Consider the following 26,822-nt stretch of genomic DNA (forward strand, 5'->3'; position numbering starts at 1 on the left):
CACCTAGAAAAAACACCACTCCCATGTAGTAGGTTTTGACAAACGTTGGAACTGCCAAAAGCCCCCACCAAAACAACCTACCTGGGCTGCCATGGGCAAGACAATAAAGTGAGAAGCAACTCAACTGACCACCTTTGAGGCTGGGACCCTGGGGTGATATAGCTGGGCCACTCCTTGGCCTGCTGGCTCAACTCCTGCCTGCCACCCTCAAGGTTTGCTAAACTCAAGTTGTGAGTTATCAGCATATGTAACCTGGCCCCAGGGGCCCTGCAGCTGACAGGCAGAGCTGCTGCTCATATTTGTGTACATGGTACCATGAGACACCATCATTGTACTCATTATTAATTTATATGGTTGACGACAGTTTTCCAACAGATGGCAGTAAAATATCTTAAGAAAGAGGCACCTGGCCAGGCGCAGTGGTGCGTGCCTGTAGTCCCAGCACTTTGGAAGGCCTAGCTGTGAGGATTGCTTCAGCCCAGAATTTCAAGACCAGCCTTGGCAATGCAGTGAGACCCAGCACCCCCACTGCCATCTCTACAAAGAAAAAAGAAAGGGGCATCTTCTTTTTCTTTTCTTGAGATGGAGTCTCGTTCTGTCTCCCAGGCCAGAGTACAGTGGTGCGATCTTGGCTCACTGCAACCTCGGCCTGTCGGGCTCAAGCGATTCTCTCACCTCAGCCTCCCAAGTAGCTGGGATTACAGGAGCGCTCCACCATACCCTGGTATTATTATTATTATTATTTGTATTTTTAGTAGAAATGGAGTTTCACCATGTTGCCCAGGGTGGTTTTGAACTCCTGAGCTCAGGCAATCCGCCTTGGCCTCCCAAAGTGCTGAGATTGCAGGCATGAGCCACCGTGCCCAGCGACATCCTTTTCTACTTCATCCAAAACCACCATATGAGCTAACAGTAGGGCTATGTTGCCCAGCGTGCTGCTAACAAATAGCAGAACACAAGACTCTCAGAACCAGAAAGTCAACATTCATTGTGCTGTCTCACCACATGGCTTCCTCCTGTGCCTCTACTTCATTCTTTTCTTGTCTTCCATCCTCATTTATCAAATCCAACATTTCTCTACTAAACAGAAAAGCTACTGGGCGCCGTGGCTCATGCCTGTAATGCCAGAACTTTGGGAGGCCGAGGCGGGTGGATCACCTGAGGTCAGGAGTTCCAGACCAGCCTGACCGACATAGTGAAACTCTGTCTCTACTAAAAACACAAAATTAGCTGGGCGCGGTGGCTCATGCCTGTAATCCCAGCACTTTGGGAGGCCGAGTTGGGGTGGATCACGAGGTCAGGAGTTCAAGACCAGTCTGGCCAACATGGGGAAACCCTGTCTCTACCAAAAATACAAAATTAGCTGGGCGCAATGGCGGGCACCTGTAATCCCAGCTACTCAGGAGGCTGAGGCAGGAGAATTGGTTGAACCCAGGAGGCAGAGGTTGCAGTGAGCCGAGATCACGCCACTGCACTCCAGACTAGATGACAAAGCAAGACTCTGTCTCAAAAAAATAAAAAAGTTAATTTACTTAAATGTGTGTGAAAGTATATTGTAAGATGTAAAACAAGCTATACAAAGCAAGGTATGCTTAATTTAATATTCTGAATTGGGGGCAGCTTATTAAACTTTCATTAATTTCAGAGAATCTTATCATGTCTGAGCTGTAAGGATCCTGGACCTTAGACCTCTTTATTCTAGATGAGAAAAATGAGGATGAGAGCTTAAGCAATATCCTGCCTCAAGTCACCCAGACTAAGTTTGTCCCAGATAAAGAAAAATAATAATGAGAATACTGAAAACTGCAATGAGATGTATCTTCTAAACATCTTAACTATGACCACCGAATGATTATCAGGAAAGCTTCAGCCCTTTTGATTATACACATTTTCAAAAAGCCAGAGAACTTTAAAAAGATTCCTTCATAAACAACTCATTGTATGTACTAGAAATATTTACTTGGCCAGGCGCGGTGGCTCACGCCTGTAATCCCAGCACTTTGGGAGGCTGAGGCGGGCGGATCACCTGAGGTCCGGAGTTCGTGACCAGCCTCAACATGGAGAAACCCCGTCTCTACTATAAAAATACAAAATTAGCCAGGCGTGGTGGTGCATGCCTGTAATCCCAGCTACTCGGGAGGCTGAGGCAGGAGAATTGCTTGAACCTGGGAGGCGGAGGTTGCGGTGAGCCGAGATCACGCCATTGCACTCCAGCCTGGGCAATGAGAGCGAAACTCCGTCTCAAAAAAAAAAAAAAAAGGAAATATTTACTTACCTCAACTATTTATTTAGCGACAAGGTCTCACACTGTTGCCCAGGCTGGAGTGCAGTGGTGCTCACTGCAAACTCCGCCTCCTGGTTTCAAGCAATTCTCCTGCCTCAGCCTCCTGAGTAGTTGGGACTACAGGCGTGAGCCACCACGTCCAGCTAATTTTTGTTATTTTTAGTAGAGACAGGGTTTCACCATGTTGGCCAGGCTGGTCTCAAACTCCTGACCTCAGGTAATCTGCCCATCTTGGCCTCCAAAAGTGCTGGGATTACAGTCCTGAGCCACTGTGCCCGGCCTTACCTAAACAATTTAAATTGCTTTAGAATCTTCAAAAGCCGGCTGGGCTTGGTGGCTCACGCCTGTAATCCCAACACTTTGGGAGGCCTAGGAGGGTGAATCACCTGAGGTCGGGAGTTCAGTCTGACCAACGTGGAGAAACCCCATTTCTATTAAAAATACAAAATTAGCTGAGTGTGGTGGGTGGCACGTGCCTGTAATCCCAACTACTCCGGAGGCTGAGGCAGGAGAATCGCTTGAACCTGGGAGGCAGAGGTTGCAGTGAGCCAAGATCGCACCGTTGCACTCCAGCCTGGGCAACGAAAGCGAAACTCTGTCTCCAAAAAAAAAAAAAAAAACCTCAAAAGCCAACAATTACAAGTTTTAAATATTTTAGCCAGGCACCGTGGCTCACGCCTGTAATCCCAGGACTTTGAGAGGCCGAGGCGGGCGGATCACGAAATCAGGAGATCGAGACGATCCTGGCTAACACGATGAAACCCCGTCTCTACTAAAAGTGCGAAAAACCAGCCGGGCAAGGTGGCAGGCGCGAGTCCCAGCTCCTCGGGAGGCTGAGGCAGGAGAATGGCGTGAACCCGGGAGGCGGAGTCTGCAATAAGCCGAGATGGCGCCACTGCACTCCAGCCTGGGCGACAGAGAGACACTCCACCTCAAAAAAACAATTTTTAAATATTTTGTTGTTTTTTTTTTTTTGATACAGTCTCGTACTCTCGCCCAGGCTGGAGTGCAGTGGCGCCATCTCGGCTCACTACAAGCTCCGCCTCCCGGGTTCATGCCATTCTCCTGCCTCAGCCTCCCTAGTAGCTGGGACTACAGGCGGCCGCCACCACACCGGGCTAATTTTTTGTATTTTTAGTAGAGACGGGGTTTCACCATGTTAGCCAGGATGGTCTCAATCTCCTGACCTTGTCTCCACCCGCCTCGGCCTCCCAAAGTGCTGGGATTACAGCCGTGAGCCACCGCGCCTGGCCTGTTTTGAGATGGAGTCTCACTTTGTCACCCAGGCTGTAGTACACTGGTGTGATGTTGGCTCACTACAACCTCTGCCTCCCGCGTTCAAGCGACTCTCCTGCCTCAGCCTCCCAAGTAGCTGGGATTACAGGTGCACACCACCACACCCAACTAATTTTTTATTTTTAGTAGAGACGGGGTTTCTCCATGTTGGCCAGGCTGGTCTCGAACTCCTGACCTCAGGTGATCCACCCACCTTGGCCTCTGGAAGTGCTAGGATTACAGGTGTGAGCTACCGTGCCCGGCCATTTCATTGTTCTTAGTGGTGAAAATGTACATCGAAATTTAAGAATATACTTTTATTCAACGAAGAGTTTGTTTTTAGTTTTTTGAGACAGAGTCTGGCTCTGTTGCCCAGGCTGGAATGCAGTGGCACAATTTCATCTCATGGCAACCTCCACCTTCTGGGTTCAAGCAATTCTTCTGCCTCAGCCTCCCAAGTAGCTAGGACTATAGGCGTGTGCCACCACACCTGGCTAATTTTTCATATGTTTAGTAGAGACGGGGTTTCACTGTGATGGCCAGGCTGGTCTTGAACTCCTGACTGCAGGTGATCCACCTGCTTCGACCTTCCAAAGTGCTGGGATTACAGGCGTGAGCCACCTTGCTCGGCCAGAGTTTTTTAATGTAAGTACTTCCATGAAATAAATCCCAAATGTGACATTTAGGTTTCTCCAATACAATTTATTATTATTACATTTTAGCTTGCATTTACTAAGTGTCATGGAAATATTATACTCAAAATAACAGAGCTCCAGAGAAAGACAGTTAACTAAGAAAGAACAGTTTCACTTTCTTAGCTTGTCAACTCCTAGTTAGCCTGCTTGCCTCCGCACCACAGATGCTTGTCTTCTTGTGGTTGTTACCACAAGCCAAAGCTTGAATTTACATGGGCATCAGGCCAAGTCTGTAAATCCGTGAAGACAGGCCATCAACTGCATTGAGGGTACAGCCTTGCTGAAGGGTCCTTTCTTGACAGTCAATGATGATGAATCTGGAAAAACTGTCTATTCTCTTAGGAGAAGAAAATATACCCCACCTAAAGTCGCAGCTACCATTAACAAAAAAAAAAATTAGCAAAGGGAAAGAATCAATGGTAAGGACAGTAAATATACTCTGAGAATAGAGTAAGTACAATTTACACACGCTGGAGTAAATAGTGAAGCTTCTACTGAGTTCTACTGAGTCTAAGCTCTTTTATTTTTAAAATTCTGATAAAAATTTACTCAATTACATTTTATACATTAATATTTAGTGAATTTGTCCAAAAAGGCTATGTTTAATTTATGTGTAAAAATAACAAAAGATGTATCAGTCAGTCTCTGGGCAATAAGAAAGGAAGAAAGCCTTGCTAGAAATAATAAATAATCTCACGCAAAAGGCCAGGTGACATAAGAATACTACAATAATCAATATGTTTTCTTTGTATTTACAATAAAATCCATCTGTTAACACTGTGATAGAAAAAATAATCAGTCCACATCATGTAATAAAAACAGGCTTTGAGGATGATTATACCTCTTATAATAAAAACATACAAGGATTTCTCACAGCTAAAGTACTTTTCAACTTTGACAACTAATAACAGTCATGGGTGAAGGTAAAACTGACAGAGTACTTTAGATCAGCTATGTCCTACAGTCAAGGAATCAAGGGCATTACCCATTTACCAAGCAGCAAAAAGCACTTTCATTTTTCCAGAACTATTTAAATACAGTAGTTGCCATGTGATCAGTTAATTTTACTTTGTGAGTTAGATAAAGTAAAGACTAAATTGGGAAACTGCAATAAGTAATCAAAAGTAGCTCCAAACAACAAAGCCATCAATAGAAACAAAAGGCATTTTTCTAGGTGTATCATGCATAAAAAGAATAATTACATAATATTATTAAATATATTCCTTAATGACCAGATTAATAAATGAGGTAAAATTTAGTCATTGGAACAAATAAACTATATTTAATCACTTGTGTTTTGCTGTCACTGTTTAAAATAATTAACTTAATGTCTAAAAACTACATACTCTTGAATGTTTGCTTTTTAGAGCCCCTTGTGGGATATTAAAGAGCCATAACAAATTATCTGAATATAAATTATCAATACCAGGCTGGGCACAGTGGCTCATGCCTGTAATCCCAGCACTTTGGGAGGTGGAAGTGGGCATATAGCCTGAGGTCAGGAGTTCAAGACCAGCCCGGCCAACATGGTGAAACCCCGTCTCTACTAAAAACACAAAAATTAGCTGGGCACGGTGGCACACACCTGTAATCCCAGCTACTCAGGAGGCTGGGCCAGGAGAATCGCTTGAACCCAGGAGGCGGAGTTTGCAGTGAGCCGAGATCACACCACGCACTCCACTCCAGCCTGGGCAACAGCAAGACTCCGTCTCAAAAAAAAAAAAAATTATCAATACCAAATATGATACAGTTATGTAATACCCATTTTGCATATGCACAGTGGAAATACTGTAAAAACTACAAGATGAAAGAAAACCGACTGGCCAGAACTTTAAATTTCAGACTAATCCATGATAAAAATCTAGATGATAAAAAACAAAAATAAAATTAACAAAATAGATAACTTGATATCCTTTCCATATTCAGTCGTCTACTAACATGCCATCTCCAAACAAATCCATTACCTCAAAAGAGGAAGAAAATGGGCCAGGCGCGGTGGCTCACGCCTGTAATCCCAGCACTTTGGGAGGCCAAGGCGGGCAGATCACGAGGTCAGGAGATCGAGACCATCCTGGCTAACACGGTGAAACCCCGTCTCTACTAAAAATACAAAAAAATTAGCTGGGCATGGTGGCGGGCGCCTGTAGTCCCAGCTACTCAGGAGGCTGAGACAGGAGAATGGCGTGAACCCAGGAGGTGGAGCTTGCAGTGAGTGGAGATCGCGCCACTGCACTCCAGCCTGGGCGGCAGAGCTAGACTCCGTCTCAAAACAGAAAAAAAAAAAAAAAAAAAAAGAGGAAGAAAATGTAAATCTCTTTTTAAGTTTTCCAGTTTATGCTCTGAAAAAAGCCTAACATTAACAAAACCTGCAACACTACTTTAAAAAATCTAGAATTTAAAAATATCTATTTTAGTTATTAAAGATAAAAAATATTCAATTAAATTGAATGAATTAGCTGGATCAACAATTTCCTACCACACTACTATTATCTACAGCTACCCTTGGTATAATAATTTATAAGATGTCTAAGATGTCTACCTTAACTATTGATAGCACTTTTCACAGTATACCAATTTCCATTTTTACTTTCTTCTCCCCTTGTCACTTAAATGTATTACTTTAACTATCTGATAGGAAATTTTATTTTACAAATTCCTTGTTTAATTACTGAAGAGGTGATTTTAAAACATAAATGGATGCACCTGTTAATCCTGAGATGGTGATGACAGCAAAACTAAAAATCAGATGATTATTTTTACTCAAATTTCTGCTTTAGTTTTTTTTGGAAGATGGCTGGCAGAATAGAAAGAACAGCCAAGATCATCAGAATAAATATTGAGTTCCAGGAAACAGCTTCTCCTGCTGTTGTAAGTTGATACAGTGTTGTTCCTGCCTTAATGGCTACAAAAGAAGGAGGTGCGACACCTGAAATAAAATATAAAAAGATACAGTAAAAACCACCGCAATTGTTTTTAAAAAATTAAAATGTTCTGTGTGCATAAAGTTTCTTAAAACAACACAGCTATTTCCATTTTGGAAAAAAAATTAAGAATTTAAAGCTCAAGTTTATTTCCATATAAAGAATTCAATCTTTCCTAATCACCTCTTAAGGATAATGATTTTTTTTTTTTTTGAGACGGAGTTTCGCTCTTGTTGCCCCCGCTGGAACACGATGGCGCGATCTTGGCTCACTGCAACCTCCGCCTCCCGGGTTCAAACAATTCTCCTGCCTCAGCCTCCCGAGTAGCTGGGATTACAGGCATGTGCCACCACACCCGGCTAATTTTGTATTTTCAGTAGAGATGGGGTTTCTCCATGTTGGTCAGAATGGTCTCAAACTCCCGACCTCAGATGATCCGCCCACCTCAGCCTCCCAAAGTGCTGGGATTACAGGCATGAGCCCCTGCACCTGGCCAGAATAATGAATTTTAAAAACGCAAGAAAAGGGCCCAGAAAATAGTTTTACATTTATCAAAAATGCTTTTGTTTTCTCCCCCCGAGAGTTTGACTCTATCGCACAGGCTTGAGTGCAGTGGTGCAATCATCACTCATTGCAGCCTCAGTCTCTCGAGGCTCAGGTGATTGTCCCACCTCAGCTTTCTGAGCAGCTGGGACTACAGGCGTGTACCACCACACCCAGGCAAAATTTTTGAATTTTTTGTCAAGAGAGGGGGTTTTGCCATATTGCCCAGGCTGGTCTCTGTAACTCCCAGGCTCAGGCAATTCACACGCCTCAGCCTCCCAAAGTGCTGGGATTACAAGTGTGAGCCACCACACCCAGACTATCAAAAACCTTAAAAGAAAAAAAAACAGGCCCGGCACAGTGGCTCATACGTGTAATCCCAGCACCCTGGGAGGCCAAGGCAGGCAGATCACCTGAGGTCAGGAGTTTGAGACCAGCCTGGCCAACATGATGAAGCTCCATCTCTACTAAAAATACAAAAATTAGCTGGGTGTGTTGGCGCACACCTGTAATCCCAGCTACTTGGGAGGCTGAGGCAAAAGAATCACTTGAACCCAGGAGGCGGAGGTTGCAATGAGCTGAGATCACGCCACTGCACTCCAGCCTGGGCGACAGAGAGAGAATCTGTCTCAAAAAGAGAAAAAAAAAGAAAGAAACGTGCTCTGTTCTAGCAATTTCAAGGTCAAGATACTCAAAGTGTGAGTAAAGAGAGCAGTGTATACAAAAGTACATAGAGAATGATGACATTTCACTAAAAATCAAAACAAAGGGAAATAAATTACTTTGGCCAAAGCTGAAATTAACTAAATCTCTGGCTTTCACCTATAAAATGGAGATAGAAACAAAAATTCTCTCTTTAGATTCCATGGATATGACATTTAACAAAATTAAAAATTCCCCATGCTGATGTAAGTTTGTCCATTTTTTTTTCTTTTCTTTTCATTCTTTCCTTCTTTCTTTTTTTTTTTTTTTTGAGACAGTGTCTTGCTGTCGCCCAGGCCGGAGTGCAGTGGCACAATCTCGGTTCACTGCAACCTCTGCCTCCTGGGTTCAAGTGATTCTCCTGCCTCAGCCTCCTGAGTAGCTGAGACTACAGGCACCTGCCACCACATTCAGCTAATTTTTGAATTTTTAGTAGAGACAGGGTTTTACCATATTGGCCAGGCTGGTCTCGAACTCTTGACCTTGTGATCCACCCGCCTTGGCCTACCAAAGTGCTGGGATTATAGGCGTGAACCACCGCGCCCGGCTAATTTTTTTTTAAAGTAGCAATAAATAATTGATTTTGGTTATTCTTTTCAAAAAGACATATTCTCACAAGTATTAACTTAAGCTTTAATAGGTATTCAATATGTAAGAAATCTGCTCGTATTTTTGACTTCTAAACAATTCAACTCGAACTGGAAAGAAGAGCAAAACATTCCTACAAAGAATCATGAGAATTCACAAAATATGTAAGTAATTTTCATGTCCACTGATTAATTTCAAAATCAAGTATTATTTCCTTAAAAGCAAGAAAGTTTGTTGATCCTTGCTTTTTCCATACTTTTGATAACATCCGCGATAAAAGCTGGTTTCAGTAAAAGGAAAAATAGGATCAATTCTCTACTGAAAATTCAAGTTCAACATTTTAATACTTGATTAGAAAACAAAGGAGCTATTTTGCCAAAGCAACATTTACAAAAAAAAAAAAAAAAAGAAAGGGCTGGGTGCGGTGGCTCACGCCTATAATCCCAGCACTTTGGGAGGCTGAGGTAGGTGGACCATGAGGACAGGAATTCGAGACCAGCCTGGCCAACATGGTGAAACCCCATTTCTACTAATAATACAAAAATTAGCCAGACGTGGTGGCGTGTGCCTGCAGTACCAGCTCCTTGGGAGGCTGAGGCAGGAGAATCGCTTGAACCCGGGAGGCGGAGATTGCAGTGAGCCGAGATCATGCCACTGTACTCCAGCCTGGGCGACAGATCGAGACTCAGGGAAGAGGAAGGGGAAGGGACATAGGAGAAAATTGCTCAAAAAAGGCAATTTGATTTTTTTTCCTCTCCACTTAGAGGGACTGGAAGTCCTGCTTAACCCTATATCATTAAAACGATATACAGTAGAAAGTGTTCTTCTTTAAAGAGGCGACACAAAAATAACCTAAATCAACACAATTCAACAAACACTTCTGAGCATCTATTTATACAGCCAGGCTTTGTGCCCAAGAATTCTAGATGGTGCTGGCATAATCTGCAGAGAGCATGCATGTAATCTAGCCCAGCTGGACACTGTTAGATATGTACACAGTGAGCTCATACACAGCAAGAACCAGAGGGCTTACCTAGAAAAGTACCAATAAAAAAAACTTTCAATGGCACGTTTATCACAGGAGATGTGATATTAATAAACCAATTAGGCAGAAATGGTGTTATTCTCAAAAATATAATGTAGTTAATGAGATGTTCTCTATGACGTTCAACCTGTCATAAGAAAGAAAAGAATTAGCATCAGATGAGGACAACTTCAAAATAAGTTGCTTAATATAAACACCTTATTTCAAATTCTCATTCCTGATACTTCAGAGTATACCCAATAGAAATGATCAGGCTGGCGAGGTGGTTCATGCCTGTAATCCCAGCACTTTGGGAGGCTGAGGCAGGCGGATCACCTGAGGTCAGGAGTTCGAGAACAGCCTGGCTAACATGGTGAAACCCGTTTCTACTAAAAATACAAAAAATTAGCCGGGCATGGTGGCATGTGCCTGAAATCCTAGCTACTTGGGAGGCTGAGGCAGGAGAATCGCTTGAACCCGGGAGGCAGAGGTTGCAATGAGCCAAGATCACGCCACTGCACTTCAGCTTGGGCAACAAGAGCGAAACTCTGACTCAAAAAAGAAAAGAAATCATCAAAAAAGGCCAGTGGTGACTCATGCCTATAATCCCAGCACTTTGGGAGGTTGAGGCAGGTGGGTCACCTGAGGTCTGGAGTTCGAGACCAGCCTGGCCAACATGGTAAAACCCTGTCTCTACTAAAAATACAAAAAATTAGCCAGGCGTGGTGGCATGTACCTATAATCCCAGCTACTTGGGAGGCTGAGGCAGGCAGGAGAAATGCTTGAACCGAGGAGGCAGAGGTTGCAGTGAGCCGAGGTCATGCCACTGCACTCCAGCCTGGGTGACAGAGTAAGACTCCGTCTCAAAAAAAGAAAAGAAAAAAATGCACTGGGAGTTGGCTGATACAAGTGTTTCCATAACAGATGCACACAATACTGCATTAACATAAAACAGATAGGTATCTAATTATGTGGATGCCTTTATATTCACACTGACTTCTCTGCTGATTAAATTTACTAAGATAAAGAATTAAAATTACCATCACAGGTCTGAAACATTTGTATTTGAAATTATTAACATTCATATTTGCCTACCACCCATTTTTATTTGGTCAGAAGATAATTCTTATTACTTGAGTTAACTTAGGAATTAATTTATGTTGGGTTAATACATGTAGTTAATTCATGTAGGGACTAAACACAGACCTTCCAATTAACAAAGAGTTACATCAAATAATTTAAAAATACATGTTTACCTGCTGTGACCATTTTACTGCTTTCTCTGTTAGGTATTTGTATACAACTGGTCTCCCAACTAAATAGGAAAGCATATAACAGAAAGAGGCACCAAGTCCAGAACACTGGAAAACAAAAGAAGCCATAAGCGTTTTGTATTTTTCCGTCTTACTCACATTGATTTATTCACCTGAGTAAAAAGCTCAATTAATTTACTTCTTTCAGAGGTGGGGAGGGTACTCTGCATGACATCTCTTGTGCAGAGATGATCTAGTACTTTCTCAGACCAAAATGTACCTCAAATGAGATCAGCTAAAACAAACTGGCACTTGTGATTACACCTAGTGACTATATCCAAATAATTAATGCTAGGCTTTAGCCTAAGAATAAAATTTCAGGAGCCAATTTCCACCTCCCCCCGACCCTACCCCCGACCCCCCCAGTTCCTAAGCTTGAAAACACCACCTCTGGCTCTGGGACTTAACTCATTGTGCTCACCAACACTCCTTGGACTGTCGCAGTTACAAAATCCAATAGGAAAGAAAAGCTAAAACATAGCTTATAAATGCAACTAAGTCTATAATTGGTCTGTTCTGGGGGAAAAACAAATTATAACACCTCCTTGTGGAGGGACTTTAACATTAACTCCTCTTCAATTAATGAGTTTATGCTTACATAGACTAGTAGGGTTAAAGTATCATCATCATCCTCATCATTCTATTGTTTTTTCAGTCTCCCAATTTTATTTTTTCATACTTACCAAACAAACAAGAAATAAGGCTAGTGGAAAGGGATAAAGAAACCCTGAGAGTATACTGAGAAATATAGAGCCTGGAATAGCAAATGTTTGCAAGCTGGTAACTTTTAAGTTAAGGATTAGAATATAATTAAGTAGAATTTTAAAAGACAAATGTAACATTTCAGGAAAAAAGTATAAATACAAAAATTATCATACAATGAGATTATATCCAAAGGTCTAGCCTCTAAGTTGACCATTTACTAAACAGTATCATAAATACTAGTAAGTGTGTGCTACTAAAAGGTTTCCAAGACAAAAAACCGTATGTTCTAGATAGAGAGGAACCGGGCACTTTGGGGGAGGAACAAAAGAAAAAAGAAAAGGTCTTCCGTAATCTTTTAGTGCTTCTCTAATACATTTTATTTTACTCCCAAATGTTTTCAGGGAAATCATGTACATACAATTATTTCTAATTTAACTATGAAGGTTTACCTAAATTCACTACTCATTTTAAAGGAATAGGAACTACAAGAGAATAAAAGAAAATAAGAAAAATAAGAATAGAAATTACAAAATATAGTAAAAGTCACAAATCTTATTTGAGAAGGGGTCTTGCTTTGTCACCCAGGCTGGAACGCAGTGGCGCACTCATGGCTCACTGCAGCCTCAAATGCCCAAGCTCAAGCAATTCTCCCACTTCAGCCTTGCAAGTAGTTGGGATCACGGACGTGTGTCACCACACCAATTTTTATTATTTGTAGAGATGAGGTCTGGCTGAGTTGCCCAGGCTAGTCTTGAACTCCTGGGCTCAAACGATCCTCCCACAATGGACTCCCAAAGTGTTGAGGTTACAGATATGAGCGACTACACCCGGGCCACAAATCTTGTTTTTAAAATAGATTTTTTTTTTTTTTTACTTTCCTGTCGTTCCCAGTTTGGATCTGAACCTTTTTCCCCTCTAATATGATTTACTCACAAGTCAAAGTGAATTCCCTCAACATCTCTCCATCTATCCTCACTCATTAACTATTCCTTTTTCTCTAGTTCCCATTTTACTCATGTTCTCATTTCAATCTCCTCCTCCTTCCTCCTGGGTTTTTTCACCTTCAACTCTGTTCTCTTTCACAGGATGCCTCCTCTACAAAACTACTCAGTTGTCTATAACTTAAAAAACAACCTCAACCAGGGTATCCTATCCAGCTACCGCTCATCTTCACTTCCTCAGAGGAGATTCTCTCCTCGTTCCCTGTGACCTGCTTTACTATTCCACTATGCTATTGAAACTTCCTCACAGCCAATAATAACTTTTTCTCAATAGTCACCTTTCAGTGATCCCTGCATAGGATTAGACTTCATCCTGCATGAAACATGGCTTCAGTGAACTGTACTTTTTCTTCTACATTACAGGTAATTTCTTCTCTAGATTTTTCTCTTTGCCCTCAACTCTTGAAATTTCTCTAACATTCTGTTGGCCACACAATCCCTTTTCTTTGATAAATTTGGCAATTTCCATGGCTTCAAGTATCAACCACATATAGTACTAAAAACTCGAAATTCTCTTTGGTTCATCAGCCTCAAATTTTCCACCTGTCTCCTACATGTCTCTGTCAAAAACAAAACACACACACACACACACACACAAACACACACACTTTTTGGGTTAAGATTGTACTATATGGACCGGGTGGGGTGGCTCATGCCTGTAATCCCAGCACTTAGGGAGTCTGAGGCAGGCGGATCACAAAGTCAGGAGATCGAGACCATCCTGGCCAACATGGTGAAACCGTCTCTACTAAAATACAAAAAACTAGCCGGGCGTGGTGGTGGGCACCTGTAGTCCCAGCTACTCGGGAAGCCAAGGCAGGGGAATCGCTTGAACCCAGGAAGCAGGAGATTGCAGTGAGCCGAGATCTCGCCACTGCAAGCCAGCCTGGCAACAGAGCAAGACTCCATCTCAAAAACAAAACAAAACAAAACATCATATTATGGATAGTTTCACACATATGTAAATGTAGAAATACTCAATGTAAATGACAAGTTGATGGGTACAGCAAACCAACGTGGCACACATATACGTATGTAACAAACCTGCACGCTGTGCACATGTACCCCAGAACTTAAAGTATAATAATAAAAAAAAAAAAGAAAGAAAAGAAAGCAAGACTCCAAAGGATGAAAGGAGATAAATGGAAATTTTCCCTTGAGGAAATTGAGAGAAGCAGAAATAAATGAGGACAAGTTCCCAGGAAGTGTTTTGTTGTTTTTGTTGTTTAACGCAACTGTATTTTTTCCTTTCCCAAAATTTGGTGCAATTCCTACTTCTCTGAAAAGGAAACCTAAAATTACAGCTGAAATTGGGGAAAAAAAAACAAAGTAGAGAAACTAGTGTTATGATGCCCTATATTAACATATTTCAGGCTGGGCACCGTGGCTCCCGCCTGTAATCCCAATACTTTAGGCAGCTGAGGGTGGATCACTTGAGACTAGGAGTTGAAGAACAGCCTGGCCAACACGATGAAACCCTGTCTTTAATAAAAATACAAAAATTGGCCAGTCACAGTGGCTCATGCCTGTAATGCCAGGTACTCAGGAGGCTGGGAAACGAGAATCTCTTGAACCCAGAGGGCAGACGTTGTAGTGAGCCGAGATCATGCCACTGACCTCTGGCCTGGGAAATAGAGTGAGACTCTGTCTCAAAAAAAATAAAAATAAAAATAAGGCTGGGCGCGGTGGCTCATACCTGTAAATCCCAACACTTTGGGAGGCCAAGGCAGGTGGATCATGAGGTCAGGAGTTCAAAGAATACAAAAAATTAGCCGGGCGCAGTGGCAGGTGCCTGTAATCTCAGCTACTTGGCAAGCTGAAGCAGGAGAATTGCTTGAACTCGGGCAGCGGAGGTTGCAGTGGGCCGAGATCGCGTCGCTACACTCCAGCCTGGGAAACAGAGTGAGACTCCCATCTCAAAAAAATTATAATAATAATAAAAATAAATTTTTTTTTGAGACTGAGTCTCGCTCTGTCGCCAGGCTGGAGTGCAGTGGCATGATCTTGGCTCACTGCAACCCCTGCCTCCCAGGTTCAAGCGATTCTCCTGCCTCAGCCTCCCGAGTAGCTTGGATTACAAGCGTGTGCCATCGCGCCCAGCTAATTTTTTTTATTTTTAGTACAGACAGGTTTCACCATGTTGGCCAGGATAGTCTCCATCTCCCGATCTCGTGATCCACCCCGCTTGGCCTCCCAAAGTGCTGGGATTACAGGTGTGGCCACCACGCCCGGCCAATTCCTTTTTTTTTCCTTTCGTTTTTGTGGTAGGAGTCTCGCTCTGTCGTCCAGGCTGGAGGGCAGTGGCGTGATCTCAGCTCACTGCATTCTCCGCATCCCAGGTTCAAGCAATTCTCTGCCTCAGCCTCCCAAGTAGTTGGAATCACAGACGCCTGCCACCATAACTGGCTAATTTTTGTATTTTTAGTAGAGACAGGGTTTCACCATCTTGGTCAGGTTGGTCTTGAACTCCAGACCTCGTGATCCACCTGCCTCGGCCTCCCAAAGTACTGGAATTATAGGTGTTAGCCACCGTGCCTGGCCTCCTTTTCTTTTTAACATAAATATGATACCATTGTCAGACTTCAAGAAATTAACTATAATTCCTTATTGTCCTAAAGACTAGTCTGATCAGAATCTAGAAGTCCACACAAAGTATTTGCTCAAAGGATCACTTAAGCATAGGGTCTTTATTTTTTCTTTCTTTCAATTTACTGAAGAAACCAGATCATTTGTAGAATTTACCATTTATTGAATTTTGCCTATTGGATACTTAGGGTAGTTTATGTTCTATCCTTTATCTTATACTAGTAGTCAAAACTATGCTTCCTTTTAAATGGGAATGTGACTTGAGCTTAACTTTGTTTAGATTTCTCTTCTCTTACACTGAAAAATCTTGGTTCTTGATAACACCAACATAGTTGCCTATTTGTGCTTTATATACTATGAAACATAAAGTAAATGTATAAAATATATACTATGCATTAGTATTAATAATCTAAAACGTTTCCACATATTTAAATATTTTACAACATTATTACTACTAACAATATGATGACTAAAAACAGTTTTAAGATTTTTGGCTAGGCCTGGTGACTCACACCTGTAATCCCAGCACCTTGGGAGGCTGAGGTGGGAGGATCACTTGAGCCCAAGAGTTCCAGTTCGAGACCAGCCTGGGCAACATGATGAAATCCCATCGCTACAAAAAAATACATGAAGAGACGGGATTTCTTCATGTTGGTCAGGCTGGTCTTGAACTCCCAAACTCAGGTGATCAGCCTGCCTCGGTCTCCCAAAGTGCTGGGATTATAGGTGTGAGCCACCACACCCGGCCCTGATAATACTATTCTTAATTTTTGAGGAACTGCCATACTATTTTCCATAGTAGCTGCATCATTTTGCATTCCCACCAACAGTGCTCAAGAGTTCCAATTTCTCCACATCCTTGCCAACACTTGTTATTTTCATGATAGCCATCCTAATGAGTGTGAGGTTGCTTTTGATTCTTAAGATTCCTGCTATTCTCTTTTTTCATTTTGATTTTGTAATTATGTAAAACATTTACTTGGTTCTCAAGTCAAACCTACGCTAAGAAAAGTTTCAGTCCTACCATTTTATCTCTCTCCCTACAGGTAAACATTTTTACTGGTTTATTTATTTGAGATACAGTCTCACTGTCACCTAGGCTGGAGTGCAGAGGCTAAATGCTTCGCTGTAGCCTCAACTTCCCTGGGCTCAGGTGATCTTCCCACCTCAGCCTCCCAAGTAGCTAGGACTACAGGCATGTACCAAGACATCCAGCTAATTTTTGTATTTCTCGTAGAAACTGGGTCTAGCTACATTGCCCAAGCCAGTCTCGAACCACTGGCCTCACGCAATCCTCCTGCTGAAGCCTCCCAAAGTGCTGGGATTACAGGAATGAGCCACTACACCCGGCCAATTAGTTTTTTAAGAAAAATATAACAAGATACTTATGTATATGAGTGTACTCATATTATCCCCTTCTTAGATAAAACACAGCATATTTGTGTACTATTTTGCCCTTTGTTCTTTCACTTATCTGTATATTGTGAGTTAATACCTCAACAACATATGGATACTTCTGATTCTTTTTATTTTTGTTATTTTTATTTTTTGGGGATGGAATCTTGCTGTCACCAAGGCTGGAGTGCAGTGGCACGATCTCAGCTCACTGCAACCTCCACCTCCTGGGTTCAGGTGATCCTCCTGCCTCAGCCTCCTGAGTAGTTGGGATTACAGGCATGCAATCACCACGCCCAGCTAATTTTTGTATTTTTAGTAAAGATGGCGTTTCACTATGTTGGCCAGGCTGGTCTGAACCCCTGACCTCACGTGATTCACCCGCCTCGGGCTCCCAAAGTGCTGGTGTTGCAGGCATGAGCCACCATACCTGGCTACTTCTGATTCTTTTTAAATAGCTATATAATATCCCAGTGTTGTCAGGCGTGGCGGCTCATGACTGAAATCCCAGCACTTTGGGAGGCTGAGGAGCTCAGGAGTTCAACACCAGCCCAGACAACATAGCAAAACCTGGCATCTACAAATAAATCCCAAATTTAACTGGGTGTGCCTGTGGTTCCAGCTACTCGGGAGGCTGAGGTGGGAGGATCACTTGAGCCCAGGAGGCTGAGGCTGCAGTGAGCCATGATCATGCCACTGCACTCCAGCCTGGGTGACAGGGGGAGAACCTGTCTCAAAAAAAAAAAAAAAAAAAAAAAAAAAAAAAAAGCCGGGCACAGTGGCTCTCACCTGTAATCCCAGCACTTTGGGAGGCTGAGATGGGCAGATCACCTGAGGTCAGGGGTTCCAGACGACCCTGGCCAACATGGTGAAACTCCGTCTCTACTGAAAATACAAAAATTAACCAAGTATGGCGGCAGGCGCCTGCAATCCCAGCTACTTGGGAGGCTGAGACTGGAGAATCGCTTGAACCTAGGAGGTGGAGGTTGCAGTGACCAGAGATTGTGCCTCCAGCCTGTGTAACAAGAGCAAAACTCCATCTCAAAAAAAAAAAAAAAAAGTTGGTTTAAAAAGGATGATTACTTTTACAACATCAAGAAGTAAATTACGTCTTTCATTAACTGAGAAGATCTGGAAAACAGTTTGGATAAGAATAAAAGATATTAACAAATCAGAAATGAAAATTAAACTCCACAATATGCAAAATTAAGCACCCACAGCTAAGCAGTTTGAAATAAAGCTATTTTCCTGACTAGTTAAAATGTAATATATTTCTATAAAATATATATCAAAAATTGTAAAAAACATTCATTCCTTTGAATAAGTATCTTAAGAATTTTTACAAAAGAAACAATGCAAGAAAAAAACATGAACAAAGGAGATTCATAATACATATCTATAAAAATTAACAACAAATTATACCTCCAAACCTAACAGAACAATTATAAAAATACTATGGTGACTACTAATTCAAAATAATTATATAAACTAGTATCATCAGTTAATGAATACAATTATAAATCAAACCCATAAAATAAACATCTTAATAATATGCAATAAAGGAAAATGTTTGGTAAGTGAAAAAAGCAGAATACAAAAGAACTTCTAATAAATATTCAGACATAAAAACAATTAGTTCAGCAAATAGGATTAAAGTGATAATTTTTTTCCATTTTAATTTTTCAATTATTTAATATTGTCACACTGCAATAACAAATTTTAAAAGGAAAATAGTTATGTATAAATGAAGAGCAGACCTTTTACACTTTTTCTTGAACAAAATTAGAAAACATTTTTTCAGTTAAAAGGATACAAAATATATGTAGCAAAATAAGCTACAAGTACTTGAACATAAAAGGTGTCCTTGTATTTGGATAAAACTTTTCCTAGAGCCTTGGCATCATCCATATCTCTGGGAACCTTCATATTCACTCTTTCTTCTCTGAAGAAATAAAGTGAAAAATTTTAGAACAGAATTTTGCCAAGATAATATCAAAGTCAAGTTCACAACATGAAGTTTTATCCAAAATGATTTCATGCCTTGATCTATTAAGTCTAAATTAGCAATGTTTAAGTTTAAAAGTTTATAATTTTTCTTTTGTTTTGAGACATAGAGTCTTGCTCTGTTGCCCAGGCTGCAGTGCAGTGGTGGAATCTCAGCTCACGGCAATCTCTGCCTCCCAGGTACAAACGATTCTCCTGCCTCAGCCTTCTGAGAAGCTGGGATCACAGGCGTGCACCACCATGCCCAGCTAACTTTTGTATTTTTAGTAGAGAGGGAGTTTCACCATGTTGCCAGGCTGGTCTCAAACTCCTGTGCTCAAATGATCCTCCTGCCTCGGCCTCCCAAAGTGCTGGGATTACAGGAGTGAGCAACCGCACCTGGCCTATAAATTATTATTAATTTCATTTTATTTTTATTATTTTTTTTGACACAGTCTCACTCTGTTGCCCAGGCTGGAGTGCATTGGCGCGATCTCGGCTCAGTGCAACCTCCACCTCCTGGATTCAGGTGAGTTTCCTGCCTCAGTCTCCCAAGTAGCTGGGATTACAGGCACGTCCCACCATGCCTGACTAATTTTTGTATTTTTAGTAGAGACGGGGTTTCACCATGTTGGCCAGGCTGGTCTCAAATTCCTGACCTTAGGTGATCCACCCGCCTTGGCCTCCCAACGTGCTGGGATTACAGGAGTAAGCCACCATGCCCGGCTATAAATTATTTTTTAATGCTTTAATATAATTTCATGAGACAGGCAATTTTTTCTTTTTAATGTCTCAGCAGAATCAGAGACAGGTAATTTATATATGAAGGCTCTGGATGACGCAAACCAAGGGTTAAAGGCATTTGTTCCAACATCGAAACAAATTTTAACTTGAATATAAGAAATGAACCACTGGCCAGGCACATGGTGGCTCACGCCTGTAACCCCAGCACTTTGGGAAGCCGAGGCGGGTGGATCGCCTGACATGAGGAGTTCGAGACCAGCCTGGCAAACGTGTTGAAACCCCGTCTCTACTAAAAATACAAAAATTAGCTGGGCATGGTGGTGCATGCCTGTAATCCCAGCTACTCAGGAGGCTGGGGCAGGACAATCACTTGAACCCGGGAGGCAGAGGCTGCAGTGAGCCTCCAGCCTGGGCAACAGAGACTCCGTCTCAAAAAAAAAAAAAAAAAAAAGAAAGAAAGAAAAAAAGAACCACTGATGTTAGTAAATTAAAAACATTTAACATCATTTTGGGTAATCCTGATGATAAACTAAATAATAATTTACAATGAAAATTAAGTAAAAATGTAACAAATTCACAGTTCAAACATTTTCTTGAATACCACAGATCAAAGTCCACAAAAAACTGCAAGTTTTCCAGTACTTTTACTCTATATTTGGCACTTTGTTTGGAACTGAATGATTTCTTGCTTAGGAAAGCCTCGAATAATCACCTTTGTGTTTCATGCATATTATGATCATTTCTTTTTTTTTGTTTGTTCTATAGGCAGGCTCCCATGCTCTGTCACCCAGGCTGGATGGAGTGCAATGGCACGATCATAGCTCAATATTACCTCCATCTCCTAGGTTCAAGTGATCCTCCCACCTCAGACTACTGAGTAGCTGGGACTGCAGGCACGTGCCACTATGCTCTGCTAGTTGTTGTTTTTTTTAGATAGAGTCCTGCTCTGTCGCCCAGGTTGGAGTGCAGTGGCGTGATCTCGGCCCACTGCAAGCTCCGCCTCCCAGGTTCACGCCATTCTCCTGCCTCGGCCTCCCAAGTAGCTGGGACTACGGGCGCCCGCCACCACGCCCAGCTAATTTTTTTATTTTTAGTAGAGATGGGGTTTCTCCACGTTAGCCAGTCTGGTCTCAAACTCCTGACCTCACGTGATCCGCCCACCTTGGCCTCCCAAAGTACTGGGGTTACAGGCATGAGCCACCGCGCCAGGCCGCTCTGCTAATTTCAAAATTTTTTATAGGCTGGGCGCAGTGGCCTAGGCCTGTAATCCCAGCACTTTGGCAGGCCGAGATGGGTGGATCACGAGGTCAGGAGTTCAAGATCAGCCTGGGCAGCACAGTGAAACCCCATCTCTACTAAAAATACAAAAATTAGCTGGGCATGGTGGCATACATCTACAGTCCCAACTACTTGGGAGCCTGAGGCAGGAGAATCGCTTGAACTGGGAGGTGGGGGCTGCAGTAAGCCAAGATTGCACCACGGCACTCCAGCCTGGGCGACAGAGTGAGACTCTGTCTCAAAAAAATAAATAAATAAAGTTTTTTATACAGATGGGGTCTCGCTATGTGACCCAGGCTGTTCTCAAACTCCTGGATTCAAGTGATCCTCCCAAAGTGCTAGGACTAAAGGCCTGAGTCCTCATTTGTTTACATGACAAAAAAAATTTAACTGACCTATGGCTGGGAACAGTGGCTCACACCTGTAATCCCAGCACCCACCCTGTCTCTACAAAAAATTAAAGAACTAGCAGAGCATAGTGGTGCATGCCTGTACTCCTACCTACTCGGGAAACTGAGGTAGGGGATCATTTCAGCCCAGGAGGTTGAGGCTGCAGTGAGCCATAACTGTGCCACTACACTTCAGCCTGGGTAACAGAGCAAGACCCTGCCTCAAAAAAAAAAAAAAAAAAAAAAGAGGTGTGAGCCCCTCTTTCTCAAGTCCAGTAAGATACCCAGTAAACTAAAGGTTCCTACTTATGAAATTTATAAAACTAAAAAGACTCTAGGCTGGGCACAGTGGCTCATGCCTGTAATCCCAGCACTTTGGGAGGTCAAGGTGGGCAGATCACATGAGGCCAGGAGTTCAAGACCAGCTTGGCCAACATGGCAAAACCGCATCTCTACTAAAAATACAAAAATTAGCCGGGTGTGGTGGTGCACACCTGTAATTCCAGCTACTCGTGAGACTGAGGCAGGAGAATCGCTTGAACCCAGGAGGTGGAGGTTGCAGTGGGCTGAGATGGCACCATTGCACTCCAGCCTGGGCAACTATCTCAAAACTCAGTCTCAAAAAAAAAAAAAAAAAATTGTGGGCTGGGCACAGTGGCTCACGCCTGTAATCCTAGTACTTTGGGAGGACAAGGTGGGCAGATCACTTGAGGCCAGGAGTTTGGGACCAGCCTGGCCAACAGGTTTAAAACCCCATCTCTACTAAAAATACAAAAATTAGCCAGCCGTGGTGGCACACATCTATAATCCCAACTACTCAGGGGACTGAGGCACAAAAATCCTTCAACTCAGGAGAGGAGGCAGAGATCACAGTAAGCCAAAATCAACACCACTTACTCCAGCCTGGGCGATAGAGTGAAACTATCTCAAATGAAGAAAAAAAAAAAAAAATTGTGAAGGAAGGCAATTTGGAGAAAACATGACCTTCCTGATACTTTGATATCACATTTCACAGTTCTCCATTACCACATCAGGCTGGCCCTGGTTGAAAGTCTAACTACATCTTAGTAGTCCTTCATATAATCTATGATTATACCAGGGTGGTATTACTAGGGTTTAATAGCTCTGGGATATTTTGCCCTTCTAAAATATATTTCCAGGCTGGGCACAGTGGCTCAAGCCTATAATCCCAGCACTTTGGGAGGCCGAGGCAGGTGGATCACCTGAGGTCAGGAGTTCAAGACCAGCCTGGCCAACATGGTGAAACCCCGTCTCTACTAAAAATACAAAAATTAGCTGGGTGTGGTGGCCCACCCCTATAATCCCAGCTACTCGAGAGGCTGAGGCAGGAGAACTGCTTGAACCTGGGAAGCAGGGCTTATACAGTGAGCTGAGATCACGCCACTGCATTCCAGCCTGGGTGACAGGGCAAGACTCTGTCTCAAAAAAAAAAAAAAAAAAAAAAAGAAAGTATATATACATACATACACACACACACACACACACGTGTGTGTATATAAATATATTAAATATACATATACACACACACATATAGATGTATGTATTTCCACATGGGTTTTGCCGTGTTGCCCAGGCTGGTCTCGCACTCCTGGACTCAACCAATCCACCCACCTCGGCCTCCCAAAGTGTTGAGATTACAGGCATCAGCTACTGCACTTGGCCTTAATCCACTTTCATCTTATAAATATCTATACATTTTCAGTTTATCTCTCAGTATACTTACTCACTAAGCTGAGGAAAATTTTTATATACCAAAAACATAACAAAAGCTGCAGATAAGAAAATGGACACCAATATAAGGAGTGACATTCTTGCTGATCCAGCTTCTACCCAGGATTTTTCTGGAAGAAAAAAGAAAGTATAATTAAGATAAATATAAAGGAAGACATGCTAGCAAATAATTTCTGTACATGCTTTCCTTCCAGAAAATGGCGTGTGCTTTTGCCTAAAATGATGTGACATTAAATTTAAGCACTGGGCCGGGCACAGTGACTCACGCCTGTAATCCCAGCACTTTGGGAAGCCGAGGCAGGTAGATCACTTGAGGTTGGGAGTTCGAGACCAACCTCACCAACATGGAGAAACTCCGTCTCTACTAAAAATACAAAATTAGCTGGGCATGGTGGTGCATGCCTGTAATCCCAGCTATTCGGGAGGCTGAGGCAGGAGAATCACTTAAATTTGGGAGGTAGAGGTTGCGGTGAGTGGAGATAGAGCCATTGCACTCCAGCCTGGGCAACAAGAGCAAAACTTCGTCTAAAAAAATAAAAACAATAATTAATTATATTTAAGCACTGTACAGTACTTGAAGTTTAATAACTGGATATATTACTTTGGGGGGATATATCCATTTTAGAAGTATGAAAAAGCAGAACACCAGACTCTGTAGCATTGGTTTATTGATAAGCCAAAGGGGAAAAAAAGAACATTGTTCTAAATGCTCTAAATTTTATCATACTGTCAATTTCATATTTCTATACTGGGAGCCAACAGCATAGACAAAATGGCCCCTTTGGAAAAATGAGGTAATTTGGCAATTACTTCACCTGTTTTAAGAACATAAATATTCACAAATGCAACTGGTGAAATGTTATACTTTCTCTTTATACCAAATGCATCGGAATATAAACTTGAATCTCAAATGTTTTGGGTACCTCTGCAACTCCAACAATGGGAGAATATTTATAGTCCCTCAAAAGGTAATCTCAGTATTAGCTTAAAAAATTATATGAACGAGGCCAGGCGCGGTGGCTCACGCCTGTAATCCCAGCACTTTGGGAGGCCGAAGCGGGCAGATCATGAGGTCAGGAGATCGAGACCATCCTGGCTAACATGGTGAAACCCCGTCTCTACTAAAAATACAAAAAATTAGCTGGGCATGGTGGCAGGCGCCTGTAGTCCCAGCTACTCGGGAGGCTGAGGCAGGAGAATGGTGTGAACCCGGGAGGCAGAGCTTGCAGTGTGCTGAGATCGCACCACTGCACTACAGCCTGGGCGACAAAGCAAGATTCCGTCTCAAAAAAAAAAAAATTATATTAACAATAAAAGTATGGAATGAGATTCCAGAAGCAGTAAGCAGAAGAAAGTACGGGACTGTTTTCCCAGGAACTGGTCAATAGCGCGAAGGCCAGGACAACTTTACATTGCACTCACTGGGGAAGAGGTAGGAGTGGGTGACTCAATTTTTATTTTACCATTATCCCTTGTATACACTGATAATACTCAAGAGTATTTAAAAATATGTATACTATATGGCCCGGCATGATGGCCCACGCCTGTAATCCCAGCACTTTGGGAGGCCGAGGTGGGCGGATCACAAGGTCAGGAGATTGAGACCATCCTGGCTAACACGGTGAACCCCCATCTCTACTAAAAATACAAAAAATTAGCTGGGCATGGTGGTGGGCGCCTGTAGTCCCAGCTACTTGGGAGGCTGGGGCAGGAGAATGGCATGAACCTGGGAGGCGGAGCTTGCAGTGAGCCAAGATCGCACCACTGCACCCCAGCCTAAAAAAAATGTATACTATAATTCAGATTTATTATTTTTAGTTCCCTTAGAATGGATTCAACTATTGCACAGGTGGCTTTCAAACACGCGTTTATGAAGTATCCTAAAAGTACTGAACTGCCTATACTCTCTTTAGCAAATCCTTCTTCATAAAAGTTTACAAATGTGTATTAGACAGCTGTCATTGCTGCTCTGCCCCATCTCCCTTCTCTTGAATTAACACCCTTCCCCTGTCCCATAAGGGGGCCAATCTCAGTAGCCCCTATTCTAACATTCTACCCTCCCAAACCCAGAAAACTGTCTGGCCCAGGGTTGGACACCTCACCCAAGTAGTAACAAATCATTACTGGCTGACCAGATTTTCTCTTGATAATTTGAACTAAAAGAGATACTGGTTGTCAAGCGATAGTGGGACTTGGAGCTAAAAGGTTAAATGGTGGAGGACACAGTAAGCCAAAGTGGTACGCCGAAGACATGTATCAGAAAACAAGAAAGGTTGGAACAGAAACCCAGAGAAGCAGAATTGGGAAATATAGCTAAGCTACTTGCTGATTTCTAACGTTCCACTTCCCCAATGCCTAGCTCTATTTCTTGCTCATAAATGCCAGTTGAGATTCTCTCTTATATTATTTTTCTCGGTTTTTTTTTTTTTTTTTGAGACGGAGTCCTGCTCAGTCGCCCAGGCTGGAGTGCAGTGGCACAATCTCAGCTCACTGCAACCTCCGCCTCCCGGGTTCACGCCATTCTCCTGCCTCAGCCTCCCGAGTAGCTAGAACTACAGACACCTGCCACGATGCCCGGCTAATTTTTTTTTGTATTTTTAGTAGGGATGGGGTTTCACCATGTTAGCCAGGATGGTCTTATCTCCTGATCTTGTGATCCACCCGCCTCGGCCTCCCAAAGTGCTGGGATTACAGGCGTGAGCCATAGCGCCCGGCATTATTTTTCTCTTGTTTTAACAATCTTCCTTTTTTCCTAGTTTAAACTGATGTCTATTCCTTTCAACCAAAAAGTCTTGACTAAATAAAAGATGAGCTTCATTTTTATCCCTTGTCTCACTACAACAATTGGCATTAGTAAGATTTTGCTGATTTTTTTACCCCCGCAAGAGACAGGGTCTCCCTATGTTGCCGAGGCTGGACTTGAACTCCTGGGCTCCAGCAATCCTCCTACTTCAGCCCCTCAAGTAGCTGGCACTACAGGCATGTAACACTGAGCCCTGACTAGATATTACTAAATTCTATGTTGAACACATAGAGAAATAGAAACCAACTAGCTCCTTGCTATTCAAAGAATGTTTGGTAGACTATATGAATCAGCATTATCAGGAAGCTTGCTGGAAATTCAGATTCCCACTGAAGCAAAAATCTGCATTTTAATGATACTCGTGATCTTCATGCACATTAAAGTTTGAAAAGCTAAAATCTGGCCCACTTTTACAAGTAAGAGGCCCAAAGAAGAAGGGTATACTATTTTTTAAAAAAAAATCCTGAGCCAGAGTGGTGGTGGTGTACACCTATAGTCCCAACTACTCAAGAAACTCAGTCAGGAGGATCACTTAAGCACAGAACTTTGATTCCGGCCTGGGCAACACAGTGAGACCCTATCTCTAAAAGGAACCAAATAATGTGAAGTGTATTTCCAAAGCATTTTGTTGTTGTTGTCTGAGAAGGAGTCTCGCTCTGTTGCCCAGGCTGGACTGCAGTGGCACGATCTCGGCTCACTGCAACCTCCACCTCCCAGGTTCAAGCAATTCTCCTGCCTCAGCCTCCCAAGTAGCTGGGATTACAGGCATGTGCCACCACACTGGCTAATTTTTTTTGTATTTTTAGTAGAGACGGGGTTTCACCATATTGGCCAGGCTGGT

At 42.5% G+C, this 26,822-nt stretch overlaps 1 protein-coding gene across 4 annotated transcripts in view; it reads right to left on the reverse strand.

Moving 5' to 3' along the window:
- Window positions 1–4,240: 4,240 nt before the first annotated feature.
- The window catches only part of TMEM41B (transmembrane protein 41B), a 33,940-nt gene continuing 11,358 nt past the window's right edge, over window positions 4,241–26,822 (reverse strand). Inside the window, exons 2-8 of one of the 4 annotated variants that reach the window (NR_028491.3) lie at window positions 23,171–23,288; window positions 18,846–18,974; window positions 12,029–12,122; window positions 11,289–11,393; window positions 10,042–10,180; window positions 6,958–7,180; window positions 4,241–4,628 (exon numbers count right to left, since the gene is read on the reverse strand). Coding sequence is in view for 3 of the 4 variants with exons in the window: in NM_015012.4 (NP_055827.1) it covers window positions 7,011–7,180; window positions 10,042–10,180; window positions 11,289–11,393; window positions 12,029–12,122; window positions 18,846–18,974; window positions 23,171–23,288 (755 nt within the window). In the remaining variant the exon portion in view is untranslated. Of the gene's footprint in view, window positions 7,181–10,041; window positions 10,181–11,288; window positions 11,394–12,028; window positions 12,130–18,682; window positions 18,975–23,170; window positions 23,289–26,822 lie in introns of those variants that run through there. The other 3 variants (NM_015012.4, XM_047426969.1, NM_001165030.3) reach the window with 3 other exon arrangements.

The sequence above is a fragment of the Homo sapiens genome, chromosome 11, assembly GCF_000001405.40.
Source record: "Homo sapiens chromosome 11, GRCh38.p14 Primary Assembly".
NCBI lineage: Eukaryota > Metazoa > Chordata > Mammalia > Primates > Hominidae > Homo > Homo sapiens.